At 45.8% G+C, this 21,122-nt stretch overlaps 1 protein-coding gene across 2 annotated transcripts in view; it reads left to right on the forward strand.

The window, feature by feature from the left end:
* The window catches only part of LIPG (lipase G, endothelial type), a 37,707-nt gene extending 16,848 nt beyond the window's left edge, over positions 1-20,859 (forward strand). For both annotated transcript variants that reach the window (NM_006033.4, NM_001308006.2), the window contains 5 exons: positions 3,089-3,331; positions 4,036-4,156; positions 5,230-5,448; positions 8,420-8,524; positions 12,175-20,859. In NM_006033.4, the coding sequence (NP_006024.1) occupies positions 3,089-3,331; positions 4,036-4,156; positions 5,230-5,448; positions 8,420-8,524; positions 12,175-12,196 (710 nt within the window). In that variant the 3' untranslated portion in view covers positions 12,197-20,859. The remainder of the gene's footprint in view (positions 1-3,088; positions 3,332-4,035; positions 4,157-5,229; positions 5,449-8,419; positions 8,525-12,174) is intronic.
* Positions 20,860-21,122: the final 263 nt, after the last annotated feature.

The following is a 21,122-nucleotide window of genomic DNA, read 5'->3' on the forward strand; positions in this document are numbered from 1 at the left end:
CTCCTCACCTCCCAGACGGGGTCTCGGCCGGGCAGAGGCGCTCCTCACATCCCAGATGGGGCGGCGGGGCAGAGGCGCTCCCCACATCTCAGACGATGGGCGGCCGGGCAGAGACGCTCCTCACTTCCTAGATGTGATGGCGGCTGGGAAGAGGCGCTCCTCACTTCCTAGATGGGATGGCGGCCGGGCGGAGACGCTCCTCACTTTCCAGACTGGGCAGCCAGGCAGAGGGGCTCCTCACATCCCAGACGATGGGCGGCCAGGCGGAGACACTCCTCACTTCCCAGATGGGGTGGCGGCCGGGCAGAGGCTGCAATCTCGGCACTTTGGGAGGCCAAGGCAGGCGGCTGGGAGGTGTAGGTTGTAGTGAGCCGAGATCACGCCACTGCACTCCAGCCTGGGCACCATTGAGCACTGAGTGAAGGAGACTCCGTCTGCAATCCCGGCACCTCGGGAGGCCAAGGCTGGCGGATCACTCGCGGTTAGGGGCTGGAGACCGGCCCGGCCAACACAGCGAAACCCCGTCTCCACCAAAACCAGTCAGGCGTGGTGGCGCGTGCCTGCAATCGCAGGCACTCGGCAGGCTGAGGCAGGAGAATCAGGCAGGGAGGTTGCAGTGAGCCGAGATGGCAGCAGTACAGTCCAGCTTCGGCTCCACATGAGAGGGAGACCGTGGGGAGAGGGAGAGGGAGAGGGAGAGGGAGAGGGAGAGGGAGAGGGAGAGGGAGAGGGAGAGGGAGAGGGAGAGGGAGAGGGAGAGGGAGAGGGAGAGGGAGAGGGAGAGGGAGAGGGAGAGGGAGAGGGAGAGGGAGAGGGAGAGGGAGAGGGAGAGGGAGAGGGAGAGGGAGAGGGAGAGGGAGAGGGAGAGGGAGAGGGAGAGGGAGAGGGAGAGGGAGAGGGAGAGGGAGAGGGCTCACCGGATACACTCTATTTTAATTTTTGGTAACATTTTAAAGAAGCAAAACCATTTCACTTAAGTTTTTTCCATTCACTTAACATTTTTCTTCTTCTTCTCCTTCTTCCTCACTATGTTTCCCAGGTTGGAAACAAATGATCCTCCTGCCTCAGCCTGAGATTACAGGCGCAAACCACCATACCTGGCTCCAAAATTTATCTTCTGAATGCTTGAGCTTATTCTCAGCAGATTTGGGCTGAACTGAATTTGCTGCTAAAACTGAGGTGTAGGGCAGTGACCAATTTTGGGGGGGTTTCTTATCCTTTTACTGCCTTGGCTGCTGACAGCATTTCCTGTCTTGACCCCAGGCAGCTCTCTCCACTCTGATGCTGTGCCCTCCACATGTCCTGCCCTGATGCTCAGTCTTTCCCTCTCCCGGTTTAATCCAAGTAGCTCTGCAGGGTTTGGAGGTCCATGCAAGGGGATTTTACTCCCTCCTCAGAATATAGGATGATGGCCTTTCTTTCCTTTCCTTTCCTTTCCTTTCTTTTCTTTTCTTTTCTTTTCTTTTCTTTTCTTTTCTTTTCTTTTCTTTTCTTTACTTTACTTTTGATGGAGTTTCACTCTTGTTCCCCAGGCTGGAGTGCAATGGTGTGATCTCTGCTCACCGCAACCTCCACTTCCAGGTTCAAGTGATTCTCCTGCTTCAGCCTCCCAAGTAGCAGGGACTACAGGTGCTTACCACCATGTACAGTTAATTTTTTGTATTTTTAGTAGAGGTGGAGTTTCTCCATTTTGGCCAGGCTGGTCTCAAACTCCTGTCCTCAGGTGATCCACCCACCTTGGCCTCCCAAAGTGCTGGGATTACAGGTGTGAGCCACTGCCCGGCTGGATGATAGCATTTCTTAAGGCTGCTGGTGCCAATGAGGCAGGGTTGGGGTTGGTTATGCCAAATTTTTTGTAAGATCCCAGAAATTATTTGGGCCAGAAAATCCAAATTGTATGCCTAACTTTGTAACCAACTGTCTCTATGACCCTGAGCAGATTACCTCACCCCTATGGACCTTTGGGTCATAATCTTTAATTGAAGGGATTAGACTAGAATGAGGTTGTCAAACATCTTCTTAAAGCATCAGCTAGTAAATGTTTTAGGTTTTGTGGGCCGTATTGCCTCTGTTCCAACTCTGCTGATGTAGCATGAAAGTAGCCATGACAATATATAAACAAATGAGGGTGACTGTTCCAATAAAACTTTATTTACAAAAACAGGTGGCCAGCAGGCATGGTGTGGTGCACCTGTAGTCCCACCTATTTGGGAGGCTGAGGCAGGAGGACTGCTTGGGCCCAGGTGAGGATCACTTGAGCCCAGGAGTTTGAGGCCAGCCCAGGCAACATAATGAGACACTGTCTATAAAACAAAAACAAAACAAAGCAAAGAAAAAAAAAAGAGGTAGCAAACCTGCAAGCCATATTTTGCTGAGCCCTGCGTGAGATGATGTTTAGGATCTGATCCATTTGCAGCATTCTGTGGCTGTATAGCCCTATTAGGAGGTAGTGACTCCTGCTGCACAGCTGGTCTGCATCACCCTACTTAGCACTTATTATATGGGCGTTCTTGCTCTTTATTGCTTTGTGTGTATTCGTGCTGTCTTCCCATCAAGAGAGTGAACAGTTAGGCAGCATGAATGGCCTTAAATTCCTCTACATCTTAATGGGAACCTAGCACCTTGCTGGACATTAATGAAGCATTACACAGGTCGGGTGCAGCGGCTCACATCTGTAATCCCAGCACTTTAGGAGGCGAAGGTGGGAAGATTGCTTGAACCCAGGAGTTCAAGACCAGCCTGGGCAATGTGGTGAAACCCTGTATCTACAAAAACTACAAAAATTAGCCAGGTGTGGTGGTCATGTGCCTGTCGTCCCAGATACTGGGGAGGCTGAGGTGAGAGGATCACCTGAATCTCGGAAGTTGAGGCTGCTGTGAGCGGGGGGTCGTGATTGTCCCACTGCACTCTAACCTGGGCAAGAGTGAGACCTTGTCTCAACACAAATAAACAAGCAAAAGAATTACATGAAAATACTAACAGCAACAATAAACAGCTATCACTGTTGAGGAGTACAGTATTTATTATTTGAGTGTCTAATCATCAAGAAGGGCTCATCCTGCATGCTTTTTATCTCTCCCACCCCCAGCAATCACAGAGGTGGTAAAATGTGAGCATGAGCGAGCCGTCCACCTCTTTGTTGACTCTCTGGTGAATCAGGACAAGCCGAGTTTTGCCTTCCAGTGCACTGACTCCAATCGCTTCAAAAAGGGGATCTGTCTGAGCTGCCGCAAGAACCGTTGTAATAGCATTGGCTACAATGCCAAGAAAATGAGGAACAAGAGGAACAGCAAAATGTACCTAAAAACCCGGGCAGGCATGCCTTTCAGAGGTAACCTTCAGTCCCTGGAGTGTCCCTGAGGAAGGCCCTTAATACCTCCTTCTTAATACCATGCTGCAGAGCAGGGCACATCCTAGCCCAGGAGAAGTGGCCAGCACAATCCAATCAAATCGTTGCAAATCAGATTACACTGTGCATGTCCTAGGAAAGGGAATCTTTACAAAATAAACAGTGTGGACCCCTTTTGTGATGTGGCTATCAGTCCATGATCACAATATCAATATCTTAAATTTCTATCTTGCATTTAACTTTCAAAGCTGTTTCATATTTGTTTTCTCATTTGATCATCACAAGAAACCTGAGGCAGATGAACAGGGGACCAAAATGACATGTTACATTTTTATAATGTGCTGTAAAATCACAAGGTTTTCTGGGTACTGTGGGTATTATTTTACATATGAGGAAGTTGAGGCTCAGAGAGGTTAATACCTTGGTCCTTAATCCAGGGGCACGTAGTTAGAAAGTAGCTAAGTGAAAATCCTCAAAAGATCTAACTCCCAAGTGCAGGGCTCCTTCCATACTGCAGTGGCCTCTTATGGCATTGGACAGAACAAGAGCAGATGGGGGCTGCAGGCTGGGCTCAACCAAAAGAACACCAGCCCTAAAATCTCTGTGCTGGTGACTCAGTTTGGGTCAGGGGTCTCCTGTGATGACAAGCAAGGGTTACAAGCATCTTTGTTCTGCTGTCACTGCAGTTTACCATTATCAGATGAAAATCCATGTCTTCAGTTACAAGAACATGGGAGAAATTGAGCCCACCTTTTACGTCACCCTTTATGGCACTAATGCAGATTCCCAGACTCTGCCACTGGAAATGTAAGTCATCCGTTTCCCTTGCTGGGTTCGGGACAGAGAACAGGTTGGTTTGAGAATGAGAGAGCACAAGGGAGCGTGTGAACGAGTACAGCACGCAGGAGAGTGCAGTCCGACTGCTCAGGGAGGAGCCAGGTGGTCTAGCTGGCCTCTGCAGTCCTCTCTCCCACTGCACCTTCTCTACCAAGCCCTGACTCAGCGTTTCGGGGAGAAAAGTTCCTGGGATGAATCGGCATCATGAGAAGCTGCTGGGTCAGCAGCTGGATCAGCTGGGCAGAAACTGCTGTTTCATTTCAGGCAATGCCTGACGATGCTTCAGGCAATCTGTAACTTCGTAAACGTCATCCCTGGACCTCTCCTAATGATGTGGCTATGGGAGGGGTGCATAGCGATCTGTATATGTTTGTTGAGTATCCACCAGGGACAAAGCATCATGCCAAGTAATGTTGGGATTGTGATGAAACATCATCAAAGTAGCTCACTTCTCAGGGCTCACAGTCTAGCTGGGAGACCAGGTTTGTACACGCACGTGCACACTTACACACAGGTAGGGCAAGGCAGATGAGGCCAAGCCAAATGAGAGGGACAGACAGGAAGAGGCTAGGAGTTTGGGGGAGACAGATGCCTGTCTGTGGGATGGATGAGGTCTGTGGGGGGAGCTGGTTTTCCCCAGCATCTGATTTTCAGAGCATCATTAACTCTTTCCTTCAGAGGTTCTAAGGCTGAGCGGAACAGCGCACTTGAGTGGGGATGTGACTTCTTTGTGTTTTCTTATTGTGTTCTTTCTTGGTTCTGTCTTTTCAGGAAGTAGCATAAGTGGGGTGGAGGGGGTGCCCAGGAATCGTTTTGATAAGAAGCTGGGGTGCTGAGGGCAAAGTTAGTTTGGCCCATATGGAGTACACCTGAGCTTCCATCTTGGTCCTGTTGATAGGAAGTAGAGGGATAGAGGTGGGGAAAGCACTCACACTGTCTCTCTCCTGTCTGTGTGGGGTTGTTACTGCCACTGTGTCACCCCACACAGTGTGGCAGTTTTCCAGCTGTTAGGGGAGTGAGATCAGCTTCTCTCCCACTTGTAGAGTGGAGCGGATCGAGCAGAATGCCACCAACACCTTCCTGGTCTACACCGAGGAGGACTTGGGAGACCTCTTGAAGATCCAGCTCACCTGGGAGGGGGCCTCTCAGTCTTGGTACAACCTGTGGAAGGAGTTTCGCAGCTACCTGTCTCAACCCCGCAACCCCGGACGGGAGCTGAATATCAGGCGCATCCGGGTGAAGTCTGGGGAAACCCAGCGGAAGTAAGTGCCTCCTGCTCCTTCTTCTGCCTGGTGTAGGTGGGGAACAGAAGGCTGTGCCTGTGACATTTCCTTTCCTTTGCTGCATCTACCCTCAATCCTTCCCTCCAGCATGCAGGTAAAACTTCAAACACCTTTGCAAGGACAAGTGACTTCCAGATCAAGGCTTCTATCAAAACTGTTACGCATCTCATGCCCTGAACATGGGCCCTCAGGGAGACGGGTGGGCCAGTGGAGGCAGTAATTCAGCCCTGGCTCTGTTTGCCAGGCCTTGTGTCAGCCTGGAGGAGGGGGACTTCTCCTGGACTGGGCTTTTTAGGAGTGCTGCCTTGTCGATGTGTTTACTGTGGGGTCCATGCAGACAAAAGGCTTTGCTTGCTTCTGAGCAAAGCAGACTGGAGTATCACTTCCAGAGAGCCCCCATGGATGAGGTCTGTGGGAGGAACTGGTTTTCCCCAGCATCTGATTTTCAGAGCATTATTCTCTCTCCTTCAGAGGTTCTAAGTCAAGGATGTGGGGCTGTGGTCCTAACTGCAAGTAACAGAGAATCCTCTGTGCCACACTAGCTGGCAGTTTCCCATTTCTTTTAACCCCAAGCCTAGCATAAAAGATCCAGATCTTTCTATCAGCTCCTAACACCGTGCCTGGACTCCCTGAGCAGGCTTTTTTCTAAACAGAAGCCAGGGAAGCCTGCGAGACCTTTGTCAAGAAGGGAGAGTTTCCTTAACCAAGTCCTTCAGCTGACCTCTACAGAGGTCACTGCCAGCCTTGGCATGGGAGGAGGCAGCTGCCTCCCTCTTTGTCCCTCCTCTGGCATTTTCTCCATTATAATTCCTGCCATGTCTGGTTTACATTCGTCATCTATGACACAGCTTGGCAGCAGAGGGAAGTGAAGTGGAGGCTTGGAGCCCTCAGCTGAATGATTCTAGTCTAGAAACCTGTGAACTGGGGGTGCTGGCCTGTGGTCTAGACTGTGTATGTTTTTACTTCTCTGGGCCCTTGCAGGTACAAACTATACCTATGGATGTGAGAGCAGAAAGATGATCATTTATAAATAAAATATTTCAAAGAAAATAAACACCTATTAAATCACCATTGAGACTCACAAATGTAAATAGTTTTCCATTTGGGTTTAGATATCAGATTTTTAAAAAGTAAAACATTATAGATACAGTTGAAGCCCCTGTGTCCTTCTCTGCTCTACCCTTCTTCTTTCAAACCAAATATAACTAATATTTCAATGTTAACAAATGTTAGTGTGTTTCCTTCCATCATGTTTTTATACACTTTGTACTTACTGTTTTTTTTGAGACTGAGTCTCTCTCTTTCATCCAGGCTGGAGTGCAGTGGCACAATCTTGGCTCACTGCAAACTCCGCCTCCCGGATTCAAGTGATTCTCCTGACTCAGCCTTCTGAGTAACTGGGATTACAGGTGTGTTGCCACCATGCCCAGCTAATTTTTGTATTTTTATTACAGACGGGGTTTCGCCATGTTGGCCAGGCTGGTTTCAGACTCCTGATCTCAGGTGATCTGCCTGCCTCAGCCTCCCAAAGTGCTGAGATTACAGGTGTGAGCCACCATGCCCAGCCGCCTTAGTACTTCTGTCTGTGTACATAAACAATGTATAGAATTTTGGATGCTTCTGAATTTTACATGAGTGGACATAATATTTTACAATTTGATTTTTTCATTCTAATATTGTTTGTGAAATTTATCCAAAACATAAAGATCTAATCTATTCTTGTTTAACTCCTGTATGTAAATCACCATTGCACAAATAGTTTTGCCATTGTTCTGCTGAATAGTTGAGTTGTTGCTTTTTTGTAGTTACAAATGGTGCTGAGATGAACATCCTCTGCATTTTCCTTGTGCACATGTGTGTAAGGGCTGTTTCTCAGCATGTGTTCTAAAAAGTGGAATTGCTGGGTTGTAGTATATGCATTCTCCAGCTTGAACAGATATTGTTAAATCTGTCTCCAAAGTGGTTGAACTAATTTTCCATCTTAACTATGGATGAAGAGTTCCCTTTTCCCTCCTTTTCACCCAGGTCTGGTGGGACATTCTTGTCATTTTGTTAGGTGTGAATGGGCCCCCTGCTGTTGTTTGAATTTGCATTTCCTGATTGTGCGTGAGATAGGTCATGTTTTTATATGTGTATAAACATATAGGTCCTAAGGTCCTTAGGGCTTCCTGGGAAAGGTTCTTAAGCTCTTCTGAATGGGGCTTTTGTCCTGCCTCAGCTCCAGGGTCAGGTGCCCCACACCCTTAAGGATTACGTGGTCACGCTAATCACACGCCCCTGAGGCTGCGTGGGGCAGCCATAAGTTACATGGAAATGGTTATTAGGCCCTGATTCTTTCTTGTGGTCTTGGCTGTCCATTTGCTGAATCTTTGGTTTTGACTTGCAGCTGAGTTGCAGTTGCTCTTGTCAATGGATATTTACAGAGCACTGGACTAGAGGTACTTTGAATCACTCCGTTCAAGTTTACGGAGAAGTCAACCACAGAAATCAGCAAGCAGTTTCACATAGGGCATAATGTTTTAAAATAAAACATTTTTTAAAACTCCATGTTGCAAGAAGTAGCAACACTAACAAAAGCAATATTTATATAAGGACATACTTTGTAACCAGTTTAAAGGCCAAGGGAGGGTTAGGTTAATGAGGGCTCAGGCAGTCAGGAAGGCTTCTGAGAGGCTATGGCCTTGAGAGGCAGGTGGCCTTTTGGATAGACAGAAGGAAGCAGGTGGCAGAGGTCTGGCAGAGGCTGCATGAGGCCGAATCATGGAAGCCTCAAAGTGAGACACAGGTTAGAGTCCCTGCAGTAGTGATGGGGAATTCTGAAGGCTTTTGAGTCGGGGCATGGCATGAAAATTTCACCCCTGCCTCCTCACCCATCTGCCTTGAATCTAGAAAGCACAGCTGGATTCCCCCTAAAGTTCTGCCTACATCAGTGGTTTCTTTTCCCTCCTAGACTGACATTTTGTACAGAAGACCCTGAGAACACCAGCATATCCCCAGGCCGGGAGCTCTGGTTTCGCAAGTGTCGGGATGGCTGGAGGATGAAAAACGAAACCAGGTAACCAGGACTTTCTCACACGTTCCACCCAGGACACGTTGACATGATGATCTCCTAGCATGTGCTGGGGATGGATCTGGGTGCCAGGGACATAGCATGAACAAAACAGATAAAAATCTCTTCCTTTAAGAAGTTGGGCCGGGCGTGGTGGCTCAAGCCTGTAATCCCAGCACTTTGGGAGGCCAAGGCAGGCAGATCACCTGAGGTCAGGAGTTTGAGACCAGCCTGGCTAACATAGTGAAACCCCATCTCTACTAAAAAAAAAAAAAAAAAGAATGCCGGGCATGGTGGTGTGTGCCTGTAATCCCAGCTACTTGGGAGGTTGAGGCAGGAAAATCACTTGAACCTGAGAGGTGGAGGCTGCAGTGAGCTGAGACCGCAATGTTGCACTCCAGCCTAGGTGACAAGAATGAAGCTCTGTCTCAAAAAGAAAGAAAGGGCCAGGCATGGAGGCTCACGCCTGTAATCCCAGCACTTTGGGAGGCTGAGGCAGGCGGATCACGAGGTCAGGAGATCGACACAATCCTGGCTAACACAGTGAAACCTCATCTCTCTAAAAATATAAAAAATTAGACGGGCATGGTGACGGGTGCCTGTAGTCCCAGCTACTCGGGAGGCTGAGGCAGGAGAATGGTATGAACCTGGGAGGAAGAGCTTGCAGTGAGCTGAGATTGCACCACTGCACTCCAGCCTGGGTGACAGAGTGAGACTCCGTCTCAAAAAAAAAAAAAAAAAAAAAAAAAAGAAGCTGACCTTCTGCTAGGAGATAAAGAAGCAAGTGAAATACTGTAGATAGGATGTTGGAAGTGTTAATGTCTCTTCTGCTCTTTGTCCTGCCTCAACCTGTAGGGGTTCATTGTACATGACCCTACTGGCATGAGATCTTCTCTGTAACTAAGTCCCCAGGTTGGTGCCCATTCCTGCCATCTTTGAAGTATCTTTTTTTTTTTCCTTTGAGACATGGTCTTACTCTGTTACCCAGGCTGGAGCGCAGTGGCATGATCCTGGCTCACTGCAGCCTCGACCTCCCCAGGCTTGGGTGATCCTTCCGCCTTTGCCTCCTGTATAGCTGGGACCACAGGCACTTGCCACCACGCTGAGCTAATTTGTGTATTTTTTTGCAGAGACGGGGTTTCACCATGTTGCCCAGTCTGGTCTTGAACTCCATGGCTCAAGTGATCCGCCTGCCTTGGCCTCCCAGAGTGCTGGGATTACAGGTGTGAGCCACTGTGCCTGGCCCCTGCCATCTTTGATTGACATCTTCTCTGTAATAACTAGAGCTGTGGGAACGTGCCTAAGGGCTCCTAGCTTCCTTCTGGCCACCAGGTCAGGTTTGGGAATGGGGTGGGAGATAAAGAGAAGCACAAAGCATGTTCTCCTTTCTTAGGTTTTCTAGAATGCAGGTAAGTGTGGGCCTAATTCTCCCACACACTTTTTTTTTTTTTTTTTTGAGACAAAGTCTCACTCTATCGCTCAGGCTGGAGTGCAGTGGAGTGATCTTGGCTTACTACAACCTCCGCCTCCCGGGTCCAAGTGATTCTCCTTCCTCAACCTTCCGAGTAGCTGGGATTACAAGTGCCTGCTACCACGCCTGGCTAATTTTTGTATTTTTAGTTGAGATGGGTTTTCGCCATGTTGGCCAAGTTACCATGTTGGCCAAGTTGGTCTCAAACTCTTGATCTCAAGTGATCTGCCCACCTTGGCCTCCAAAAGTGCTGGCATTACAGGTTTGAGCCACGGTGCCCAACCCCAATCCTTCCCCTTTTTGGGAAACAGAAATGCCCATGTATGTGGAGCTAAGTGAGACAGAGGGGTTGTCATGCTTCACTATCCCCTTGTCCCATGCTGCAATCCGTTATTTCAGACGTGAGGAAGGCCCATCTTGTGGTGTGAGGCAGTGGGCTCATCCTGGGGAACAGCCACACGCCCTCTAAGCCAAAACACCTGCTAAGGAGGAAGGAGACTGTCTCCTCACACCATGCCTGTCGCCACCCTTTGCTCTAACAAGGGTACTAGATAATAATACTGCTGTGGTACACCTAGCACTTAGCTTGGGCCCAGCCTGCACCCAGGGACTTACATAATGATGTTTGTCATCAACCCACTAGGCAGGGGTTGTTAGCCCTGTGTACAGATGAGGAACCGAGGCTCAGGGAGATGAAGTTTCTCTCCCAAGGCCCCCAGCAATGGCAGAGGGAGTTGAAGCAGGTCGGTCTACCCCAAAGCCTGTGTTGTTGAGCACCGAGGCTCCAAGTGCTCAGATGAATCACCTCGCGTCTGTCTGGGTATCAATTATCAGGCAGCTGTGCCCGTGCTCCGGGGTCCCCTGTGATTAACCATTTGCCACCCCCAAGGCTGCGCTGCATCCCAGCTGCTCTGTCTCCTGGTTAGGAGCTCAACACAACCACAAGCACCATCATCACAGGACTCGTGCCATCTAATTAAGGGACTCAGTCTAGCGTAGGCTCGTATGATTTTCTACTACTATAACGATTGTAAATCTTTATGTATTTAAATGTGTACATTTCAAAGTGTTTCCACATATATTAACTTCATTGATCCTCCAGACAACCATGTAGATTGGACACACCCAGGAAAGATGACTAAGGAAGGCTATTCTTTTTTTATTGAGACAGGGTCTTGCTCTGTCACCCAGGCTGGAGTACAGTGGCATGATCACAGCTCATTGCAGCCTCGACCTCCCTGGGCTCAGATGATCTTCCTACCTCAGCCTCCTGAGTAGCTTGGATTACAGGAATGTGCCACTATGCCTGGCTAATTTTTGTAGAGATGAGGTTTCACCATGTTGCCCAGGCTGGTCTCTATCTCCTGAGCTCAAGTGATCTGCCTGCCTCGGCCTCCCAGTGCTGGGTTTGCAGGCATGAGCCACTGTGCCCAGTCAGGATGGCTATTCTTATGATAAAGGCTAAGATATTTATTCTTCTTTCCCGCTTTGGAATTCATATACCTGAGAACTCTATGATTCACCCTCTCACTACTAATTTTAGAAAACAAGCTGTCCTTTTCCATTCCCTCAAAAACAATAGGAGTCCAAGTAATAAATGAACACTAGGAAGTCATAGCATCATATGTAACATGTTTAGCATCCTCCCTCCTGACATGGATGCTGTTCACATGTTCACTGATAAGGAGCCTGAGATTCAGAGAGGTTCAGTGGTGTGTTCACATAGCTGAGACTAGAATCCAGGTCTCCTAACTCTCAGTCTTGCCCCCTTTCTGCCAATACAGTGTCTCTCTTGTATTTCTAGATCAAGGCAAAGAGGACACTTTGATAGTTCTCCCCACACTTGTGTGTCCATGATTGTGTGTGTGTGTGTGTGTGTGTGTGTGTGTGTGTATGTTGTGGGTGGATAATATGTAAATGCAAGAACTGTGATGTACTCAACTCAGGGTCCAGAGGGTGCTGCAGTGTGGTGTTTCTCAAAGTGCATCTATGGCTTGTCAGGTTAGGGAGAGAAGGCAGCACTCGGGACCTTGTCCATTTATTCTGAAAGGAATACATGTAAAATAGTCCCATAGGGGTGTCAGAAAGCTTGGCCTTAAGGTCAAAAGAGCACACCCTGAATACAGGTTTGCGCGTTTGCTGGTGTGTGAGCTAACAAATGCCACTCTCACACGGTTTCTTTCAGTCCCACTGTGGAGCTTCCCTGAGGGTGCCCGGGCAAGTCTTGCCAGCAAGGCAGCAAGACTTCCTGCTATCCAAGCCCATGGAGGAAAGTTACTGCTGAGGACCCACCCAATGGAAGGATTCTTCTCAGCCTTGACCCTGGAGCACTGGGAACAACTGGTCTCCTGTGATGGCTGGGACTCCTCGCGGGAGGGGACTGCGCTGCTATAGCTCTTGCTGCCTCTCTTGAATAGCTCTAACTCCAAACCTCTGTCCACACCTCCAGAGCACCAAGTCCAGATTTGTGTGTAAGCAGCTGGGTGCCTGGGGCCTCTCGTGCACACTGGATTGGTTTCTCAGTTGCTGGGCGAGCCTGTACTCTGCCTGACGAGGAACGCTGGCTCCGAAGAGGCCCTGTGTAGAAGGCTGTCAGCTGCTCAGCCTGCTTTGAGCCTCAGTGAGAAGTCCTTCCGACAGGAGCTGACTCATGTCAGGATGGCAGGCCTGGTATCTTGCTCGGGCCCTAGCTGTTGGGGTTCTCATGGGTTGCACTGACCATACTGCTTACGTCTTAGCCATTCCGTCCTGCTCCCCAGCTCACTCTCTGAAGCACACATCATTGGCTTTCCTATTTTTCTGTTCATTTTTTAATTGAGCAAATGTCTATTGAACACTTAAAATTAATTAGAATGTGGTAATGGACATATTACTGAGCCTCTCCATTTGGAACCCAGTGGAGTTGGGATTTCTAGACCCTCTTTCTGTTTGGATGGTGTATGTGTATATGCATGGGGAAAGGCACCTGGGGCCTGGGGGAGGCTATAGGATATAAGCATTAGGGACCCTGAGGCTTTAAGTGGTTTCTATTTCTTCTTAGTTATTATGTGCCACCTTCTTAGTTATTATGTGCCACCTCCCCTATGAGTGACGTGTTTGATCACTAGCAGAATAGCAAGCAGAGTATCATTCATGCTGGGGCCAGAATGATGGCCGGTTGCCAGATATAACTGCTTTGGAGCAAATCTCTTCTGTTTAGAGAGATAGAAGTTATGACATATGTAATACACATCTGTGTACACAGAAACCGGCACCTGCCAGACAGAGCTGGTTCTAAGATTTAATACAGTGCTTTTTTTCCTCTTTGAAATATTTTACTTTAATACCAGTGCCTTTTCTTGTTGAACTTCTTGGAAAAGCCACCAATTCTAGATCTTGATTTGAATTAATACACACAATATCTGAGACACTTACACTTTTCAAAAGATTTGTGTATGCATTGCCTAATTAGAGTAGGGGGAGAAGGGCAACTATTATTATCCCTATTTTACAAAACTGAGGCTTAGTGAGGTTCAGCCACATGCCTAGACTTATATACTAGTTAGTGGTGCAGCCAGGGAGAGGACTCAGATTTCCTGGAGGCAAAGTCTATCTCTGAAACTCCATGAAGACTTTTGCAGCCAGTTCCCACCAATATGCCCCAGACGTGAGACAAACAAGGACTTTTTTTTTTATATAGAGCCATCCATAAAATCCTAAGCCCTTTTATTAATGTATAACCAGGAGAACATCTGTGCCAACGGTTGGACTTTTTATGGCTGAGATTCGGGAGGAAGTGTGACACCAAGCAGGAGAGGAAGAATGATTTTCTTTGTACTTAGGTTTTCTAAGGACATTGTTTTAATCTGTATCGTGCCAAAGTTGTATCACTGTTAAACTTCTGAAGACATAACCAGTTGAGTCTTATTTCAAGATATGTTCTCAAGCCAATTGTGTGCTTCTCTTGTTTCTGTGATTGCTTTCTAGCCAAAGCGAAGCTTGTACAGGTTGAGTATCCCTTATCCAAAATGCTTGGAACCAGAAGTGTTTCAAATTTTAGATTATTTTCAGATTTTGGAATGTTTGCATATACATAATGAGATATTTTGGGAATAGGACCCGAGCCTAAACACAAAATTCATTGATGTGTCAGTTACACCTTATCCACATAGCCTGAGGGTAATTTTATACGATATTTTAAATAGTTGTGTACATGAAGCATGGTTTGTGGTAACTTATGTGAGGGGTTTTCCCATTTTTTGTCTTGTTGGTGCTCAAAAAGTTTTGGATTTTGGAGCATTTCGGATTTTGGATTTTTGGATTAGGGTTGCTCAACCCATATTATTGGCTGTACATCCTGGTCACTTCTGACTTCTGTTTTTACTAATGGAAGCTTTGCAAATTGAATTCTCAGTGAGTTGTATATTTATACACCTGGCTTGAAGCCTTAATTGTATATAATGATGCTTTTTAAAAAATGCTATTTGGAAGACTATTTATTTCTCGTGTATATAATGTATATAAAAAAATATGGTTAGTGTTTACCTAAGGTTAACCAATTTCAAGATTAAAATTTTTAAATAGTAAAATAATAAAAAATTATAAAGTTCTTAATGGTCTGACAACTCAATTTTTTTTTTTTTTTTTTTTTTTTTTGAGACAGAGCCTCTCTCTGTCACCCAGGCTGGAGTGCAGTGGCAATCTTGGCTCACTACAACCTCTGCCTCCTGGGCTCAGGTGGTCCTCCCACCTCAGCCTTCTGAGTAGCTGGGATTACAGAGATGCGTCACCATGTCTGGCTAATTTTTGTATTTTTAGTAGAGATGGGGTTTCGCCATGTTGGCCAGGCTGGTCAGGCTGGGTTCGAACTCCTGGCCTCAAGTGATCCGCCTGCCTCAGCCTCTGAAAGTTCTGAGATTATAGGTGTGAGCCACCGTGCCTGGCCAATTCTTAAAGTTTGAAAGAATATAGCTGCCCCAACCTAGAGTCTGACAAAAAGTTACTCTAATATAAGGCATATTCTTTATTTGACACTCATCGTTAGCAGAAGTGGACAGCAATTCACTAAAGAACCAGAACAAGAACATCATTTCACTGAAGACGAGAAGAAAAATTATTTCAATTGTAGCAGCTTGAAGGCCTGAAGGTGGATGTTAGGAAGAACAGGGAGCATGGCTGGACACTGGGGAGCATTAGTGAGATTATTAGGTTTGGTTGAATTGGAACTAGATATCAGTGACTTAGACCAGAGGGAAGCTGATTTCTCTATTGGTTAAAGTCCCAGCTGGTAGTAAGGTTCTATTCTACAGGCCAAGAGGGCTGCAGGTTCTTAGTTTTTCACTGTGCCATTCATGGGGTATTCCTCGCATCCCCACAGCCCAGGGGTCCCCTACCAGCCAATGGAAAGCCAGAAAAGGGAAGGGATGAACAGTCTCCTCTTAAAGACATGACTGAGAAGTTGCTTACATTCTATTGGCCAGAAATAAATCCATGGTCACATGACAGGCTGGGAAATACAGTCTTTATTTAGGGTGCCCATGGGCCCTGCTGAAGATCCAATTACTATTTATTTAAAATTGACATATAATAATTGTACATATTTGTGGGGAAAATAGTGATGTTTCGATACATACAAGGTATAGTGATCATGTTGGAATAATTAGCATACCCATCCTTTCAAACATGTATCATTTCTTTGTGTTGGGAACATTCAATATCCTCCTTCTAGTTACTTGAAACCATATTTTATTAACTCTAGTTTTACCCTTCAGTGGTATAGGACACTAGAATTTATTCCTCCTGTCTAGCTGTAATCTTGTTTGTTTCGTTTGGTGTTTTTTGTTTTTTTGTTTTTTTTTGAGATGGAGTCTTGCTCTGTAGCCCAGGCTGGAGTGCAGGGGCATGATCTTGGCCCACTGCAACCTCCGCCTCCTGGGTTCAAGTGATTCTCCTGCCTCAGCCTCCCAAGTAGCTGGGATTACAGGCATGCACCACCACACCCAGCTAATTTTTGTATTTTTAGTAGAGACAAGGTTTCACCATGTTGGCCAGGCTGGTCTTGAACTCCTGACCTCAAGTGATCCACCTACCTCAGCCTTCCAAACTGTCGGGATTACCGGTGTGAGCCACCGGGCCCAGCCACTAGCTGTAATTTTGTATCTTTTAACAATTCCGTCCCTATTTCCCCTTTCCCCCTACCAATTACTATTTATTAAAAGGGAAATTGGATCTTGCCATCCGTTTATCAGGAATTAGTTTTTTCTCTGCTAAAGCCAGCGAGATAGACCAGAGTACCCTTTAAATGATTAAATCCTGTAGTCAATTTTTAGTAATCTTAAATTGATCTATGACTATGAAGTATAATGCATTACATCAGTTTGACTTTATTTCTGGTCTTAAGTGTGAAAACATTTCTAAATGACAAGGAAGCTCTTTATAAAGGGCTTTAGTGATGGTGGAAACTCCACTGTCCATCTCTACCAGGACATTCTGAAACCAGGCTTGATAATGGCTGTAGGGAGTTGGGTTAGACAATAAGAGATAAGTTCTTAACTTGGTTCAGATGTCAGAGGAAAGCAGAAAATGGTGTCTCTGGCATAGTAAAGAAAATTGTTGAAATTTCCCAAAGGAAGAGTCATAGCCTGGATGACTGCAAGTGCCTTCTTTGGCTTGGGGGTTCAGTTACTAGTTAGAGTCAGGGGAACTTCCACAGGACTTCCTTTGACTCTCCAAACAAGCTGAAGCCCCAGACCCCTTGGAAGGATGGATACAAAGTAGGTACTAGAACAGTCTTTGTCATCAAATATGGTATTTCTCAGGTGTCACCTCTGTGTTCAGAGCTACCCTGAGCCCTCTGCCATGTAAGCTCTCTGATGGCACAGATTTTTATCTGGCTTGTTTTCTGCCGTTATCTTAGAAGCTAGAATAGTGTCTGGAACATCATGGGTATTCAATGAATATTTAAATAAATAGATGAAATTAGATATAAGAAACTAGGTGCTTAAACAGGCAGGAGGTAATCTGGGAAAAGAGCAGTTAGTTTGGAATCAGAATTCTTGGTGTGTCATCCAGCATTATGTGAGTTTTAGGCTAAATACAGCCTTTCTGAGTCTCTATCTGCTCATTTAAGAAACAGAGACAATACTGCTCAGGGTTGTTGTGAATGTTAAAGGTACATGGTAAAAAAGAAAGTATTTGTGTTTTGTAAACATTTGAATTGATAAGAGGACAGTGTGAGACAAAAATAAAATCCTGGGTGGGCACGGTGGCTCACCCCTGTAATCTCAGCACTTTGGGAGGCTGAGATGGGAGGATCACGAGGTCAGGAGTGCGAGACCAGCCTGGCCAATATGGTGAAACCACGTCTCTGCTAAAAATACAAAAATTAGCTGGGCGTGGTGGCACGTGCCTGTAGTCCCAGCTACGCCGGAGGCTGAGGCAGAAGAATCGCTCGAACCTGGGAGATGGAGTTTGCAGTGAGCTGAGATCACGCCACTGCACTCCAGCCTAGGCAACTGAGTGAGACTCCATCTCAAAATAAAATAAAATAGAATAGAATAAAATAAAATCCTTTCCACATATATGCGGAAATTTTATGTATGATAAAAGGGGCCTATTAGTCTTTGGGAAAGGAATGGATGGATGATGAGAAAGTAGGCTCATTTGACAAAGAGAAACAAAATTAGATTCCTATTTTAACACGCAACAAAGATGAATTCCAAAATACCTATTGGGTACTATGCTTATTACCTGAGTGACGAAATAATCTGTACAGCAAACTCCTGTGACACACCATTTAACTACATAACAAACCTGCATACGTACCCCTGAAACTAAAGTAGAAGTTAAAACCATCAACCCCCCCAAAACAAAAATGAATTCCATCTGAATAAAAGGTATAAATGTGAAAGTCATCATGCTAATAGATATTATGAAATATAAATTCAAAACCTGTATAAAAACTGAAAAAATGTAAAACGTCACAATTAGAATAAGAAAATTTAAATAGAACAATGAATATTAAATAAACTAAAATGCTAATAAAATGTACTCCTTAGGGCCAGGTGCGGTGGCTCACACCTGTAATCCCAGCACTTTGGGAGGCCGAGGTGGGTGGATCACCTGAGGTCAGGAGTTTGAGACCAGCCTGGCCAATGTGGTGAAACCCTGTCTCTACTAAAAATACAAAAAGTTAGCCAGGTGTGATGGTGGGCACCTGTAATCCCAGCTACTTGGGAGGCTGAGGTAGGAAAATCACTTGAACCCAGAAGGCAGAAGTTGCAGTGAGCCTAGATCACGGCACTACACTCCAGCCTGGGCAACAAGAGCAAATCTCTATCTCAAAAAAAAAAAAAAAAAAAAAAAGGCCACAGAAATGTCCATCCAGCAGGTGGACAATTACCCTTTTGTCAGCCGTTCCTCTGTTGCTGACCATTAGATCCACATTTCTTTTCTGTCCGCCCTGGTCCCCTGGTGCCCCCTTTCCTGGCCCCTGTGACATATTGTCATGTAGCTCCAAGTATTTCCCCCCCTCATATCCCTCAAGTGCTCCATTTTCCAAATGCATTTGACTTCCTACTCTCTTAGCCCCAGCTCTCTGGTATTCTGTGTAGCTGACTTCCACAAGGGATCTGTTGGGAGCTTGTAACTGAACTGAAGTCATGCACATTGTCAATGGCTAGTAGACCTTTACCTGGTCCAGAGTTGTCTGCATTGTTTAAAGAAGACGTTTGTTAATCCAAATTAATCTTTGATTTGCATGGAGGCAGTAGGTCAAATCAAAAGGAAATTTTCCTCTCCCTAGCAAGCAAACTCAGAAACAAACAAACAAACGAAAACCAAGAAACAAAAGGAAAGGTTCCTGTTGGGATAGAGAAACAGTGGAGCAGGGCAGCCACCTTACACATAGGCTAGATCTGCTTGGGAATCTTTCTTCTAATCGAGGCCCCTAAAATATTCCTGATTTTCACAGTTGATTTCATTTCTTCCCTCCTGAACTTACAGAGCCTTTCAGTAAACACCAGTATTTGTCCCTCCCCGTGTATGCCCAGTGGTTTCCATGGCAGCAACGGTTGCCATAGAGAGGTGAAGAGAGGTGTCGGTGCCCTCTTTTGTAACTGTGGGTTATCTATAGATTGGGGGTGGCCTCTCCTAAAAAAGACTAATATGTAAATAAAAGGAATAAGAATCAAACAAATATAAATCAGGGCTCAAGTCATTTGTTTTCCTAAACCTTTGTGGTTATCCATACCATTTAACCTTGACTTTCCTTAAATCATACCGGTGCGTGTGTGTGTGCAGAGGGAAAGGGCTGCAAGAAGACTCTGGAAGCTAGGACAGGTCTCAGCAGGTGAGGGCTCAGGCCCAGAGGCCAGCTGGGGCAGCAGGGAGCAGAGTTATCTGGGCCATTTGCTAATTATCTCAGCCCAGACGAGTCTGCACGCTATGTGGTTTAATACCTTCACCAGAGGCAAATGGTTTTGGACTCACAAGAATTGCTCATGGCCAGAGGCAATGGACAGATGCCATATGAGAAAGGGCTGAGGCCAGGAACAGAGGCAGGGTTATCTCACTGGAATGGAGAAGCTAAAATGACATTATCTTTACTTCTGCCCTGGTTATTATCCCAAGGCAACTTCAGTGGGCTTGTTTTGAAGTCAAAGCCTCAACTATTTATTGTGAGGGAGATAATTCATTTTCATTTTCCTGCCAGAGATGTCAGTCTTACTATTCATCCTGTATCCTCTATTAGATACACAGAGCTTCTTCCTTCTGCTTAGGCTGCCCCAAATTCCATATAGGATTCTTTTTGAAGAATATATATCATCCAAAAAGAGGTCCTAGGAAATGTGGCTTCACAACCCTGGGGTTTGTTTCCCTGGCTGCTGTCTCTCTCTCTCTCTTTTTTAATTTTTTTTGGAGACACGGTATCACTGTGTGGCCCAGGCTGGAGTGTGGTGGCGCCATCACTGCTCACTGCAGCCTCGACCTCCTGGGCTCAAGCAGTCCTCCCACTTCAGCCTCCCAAATAGCTGGGACTACAGGTGTACTCCACTATGCCTGGCTACATTTTGAATTTTTTGTAGAGATGGGGTTTTGCCATGTTGCTCAGGTTGGTCTCAAACTCCTGGGCTCAAGCAATCCACCCAACTTGGCCTCCCAAAGTGCTGGGATTAGAGGCATGAGCCATCAGGCCTGGCCATGCTGCCTCTCTCTCCTTCAAGGTAGACTTCCTCTTTCCTTCCCCTTCTCCCTGCTTCTTTCTCCTTCTCCTCTCCTTCTCCTCTTCTCCTTCTTCTTCTCACAGCTTTTTATTGACTTATAACAGGCACACAATAAACTGCACACAGGTAAATCATATAATTTGACATTTTGGTACAGGAAATCATCATGAAACTGAAAGCATTACCACATCGAGATTGTGAACATACCACCACCAGAAGTTTTCTTGTGCCCCTTTGTAATTCTTCCCACTGCCCTCTCCCCAGGTTGTCCCTGATCTGCTTTTTGTCCTTGTAGATTAGTTGCATTTTCTAGAATTTTGTATAAGTGGAGTGTATCTACAGTATGTTCTCTTTTGTGTCTGCCTTCTTGTACTCAGCATAATTATTTTGAGATTCATCCACGTCTTTGCATGGATCAGTCATCTGTTCCATTTTATTGCTAAGCAGTATTCCACTGTATAGATAAATAACATTTTGTTTATCCGTTTACTTGTTGATGAACTTTAAGTTGTTTCCAGTTTTGAGTTATTAGAGTAATGCTACTATGAACATTTGCATATGAATCCTTGTATGGACATGAACTTTCATTTCTTTTGGGAGTAGGATAGCTGGATCATATGGAATGTATATGTTTAACTTTTAAATAAACTGCCAAACTGTTTTCCAAAGTGGTTGTACCATATTACATTGCCACCAACAATGTATGAGAATTCCAGTTGTCCTATATTCTCTCCAACATTTGATATCGTCGGTCTTTTCAATTTTAGTCATGCTAACAGATATATCATGGTACCTCATTGTGTTTTAACTTGCATTTACCTAATGACTAATGATGCTGAGCATATTTTAATGTATTTATTTGCCATTGACATATTTTCTTTGGTGAAGTATCAGTTCAAATCTTTTGTCCATTTTGAGGGAGGTTGTTTGC

Source organism: Homo sapiens, chromosome 18 (assembly GCF_000001405.40).
Source record: "Homo sapiens chromosome 18, GRCh38.p14 Primary Assembly".
Taxonomy (NCBI): Eukaryota; Metazoa; Chordata; class Mammalia; order Primates; family Hominidae; genus Homo; species Homo sapiens.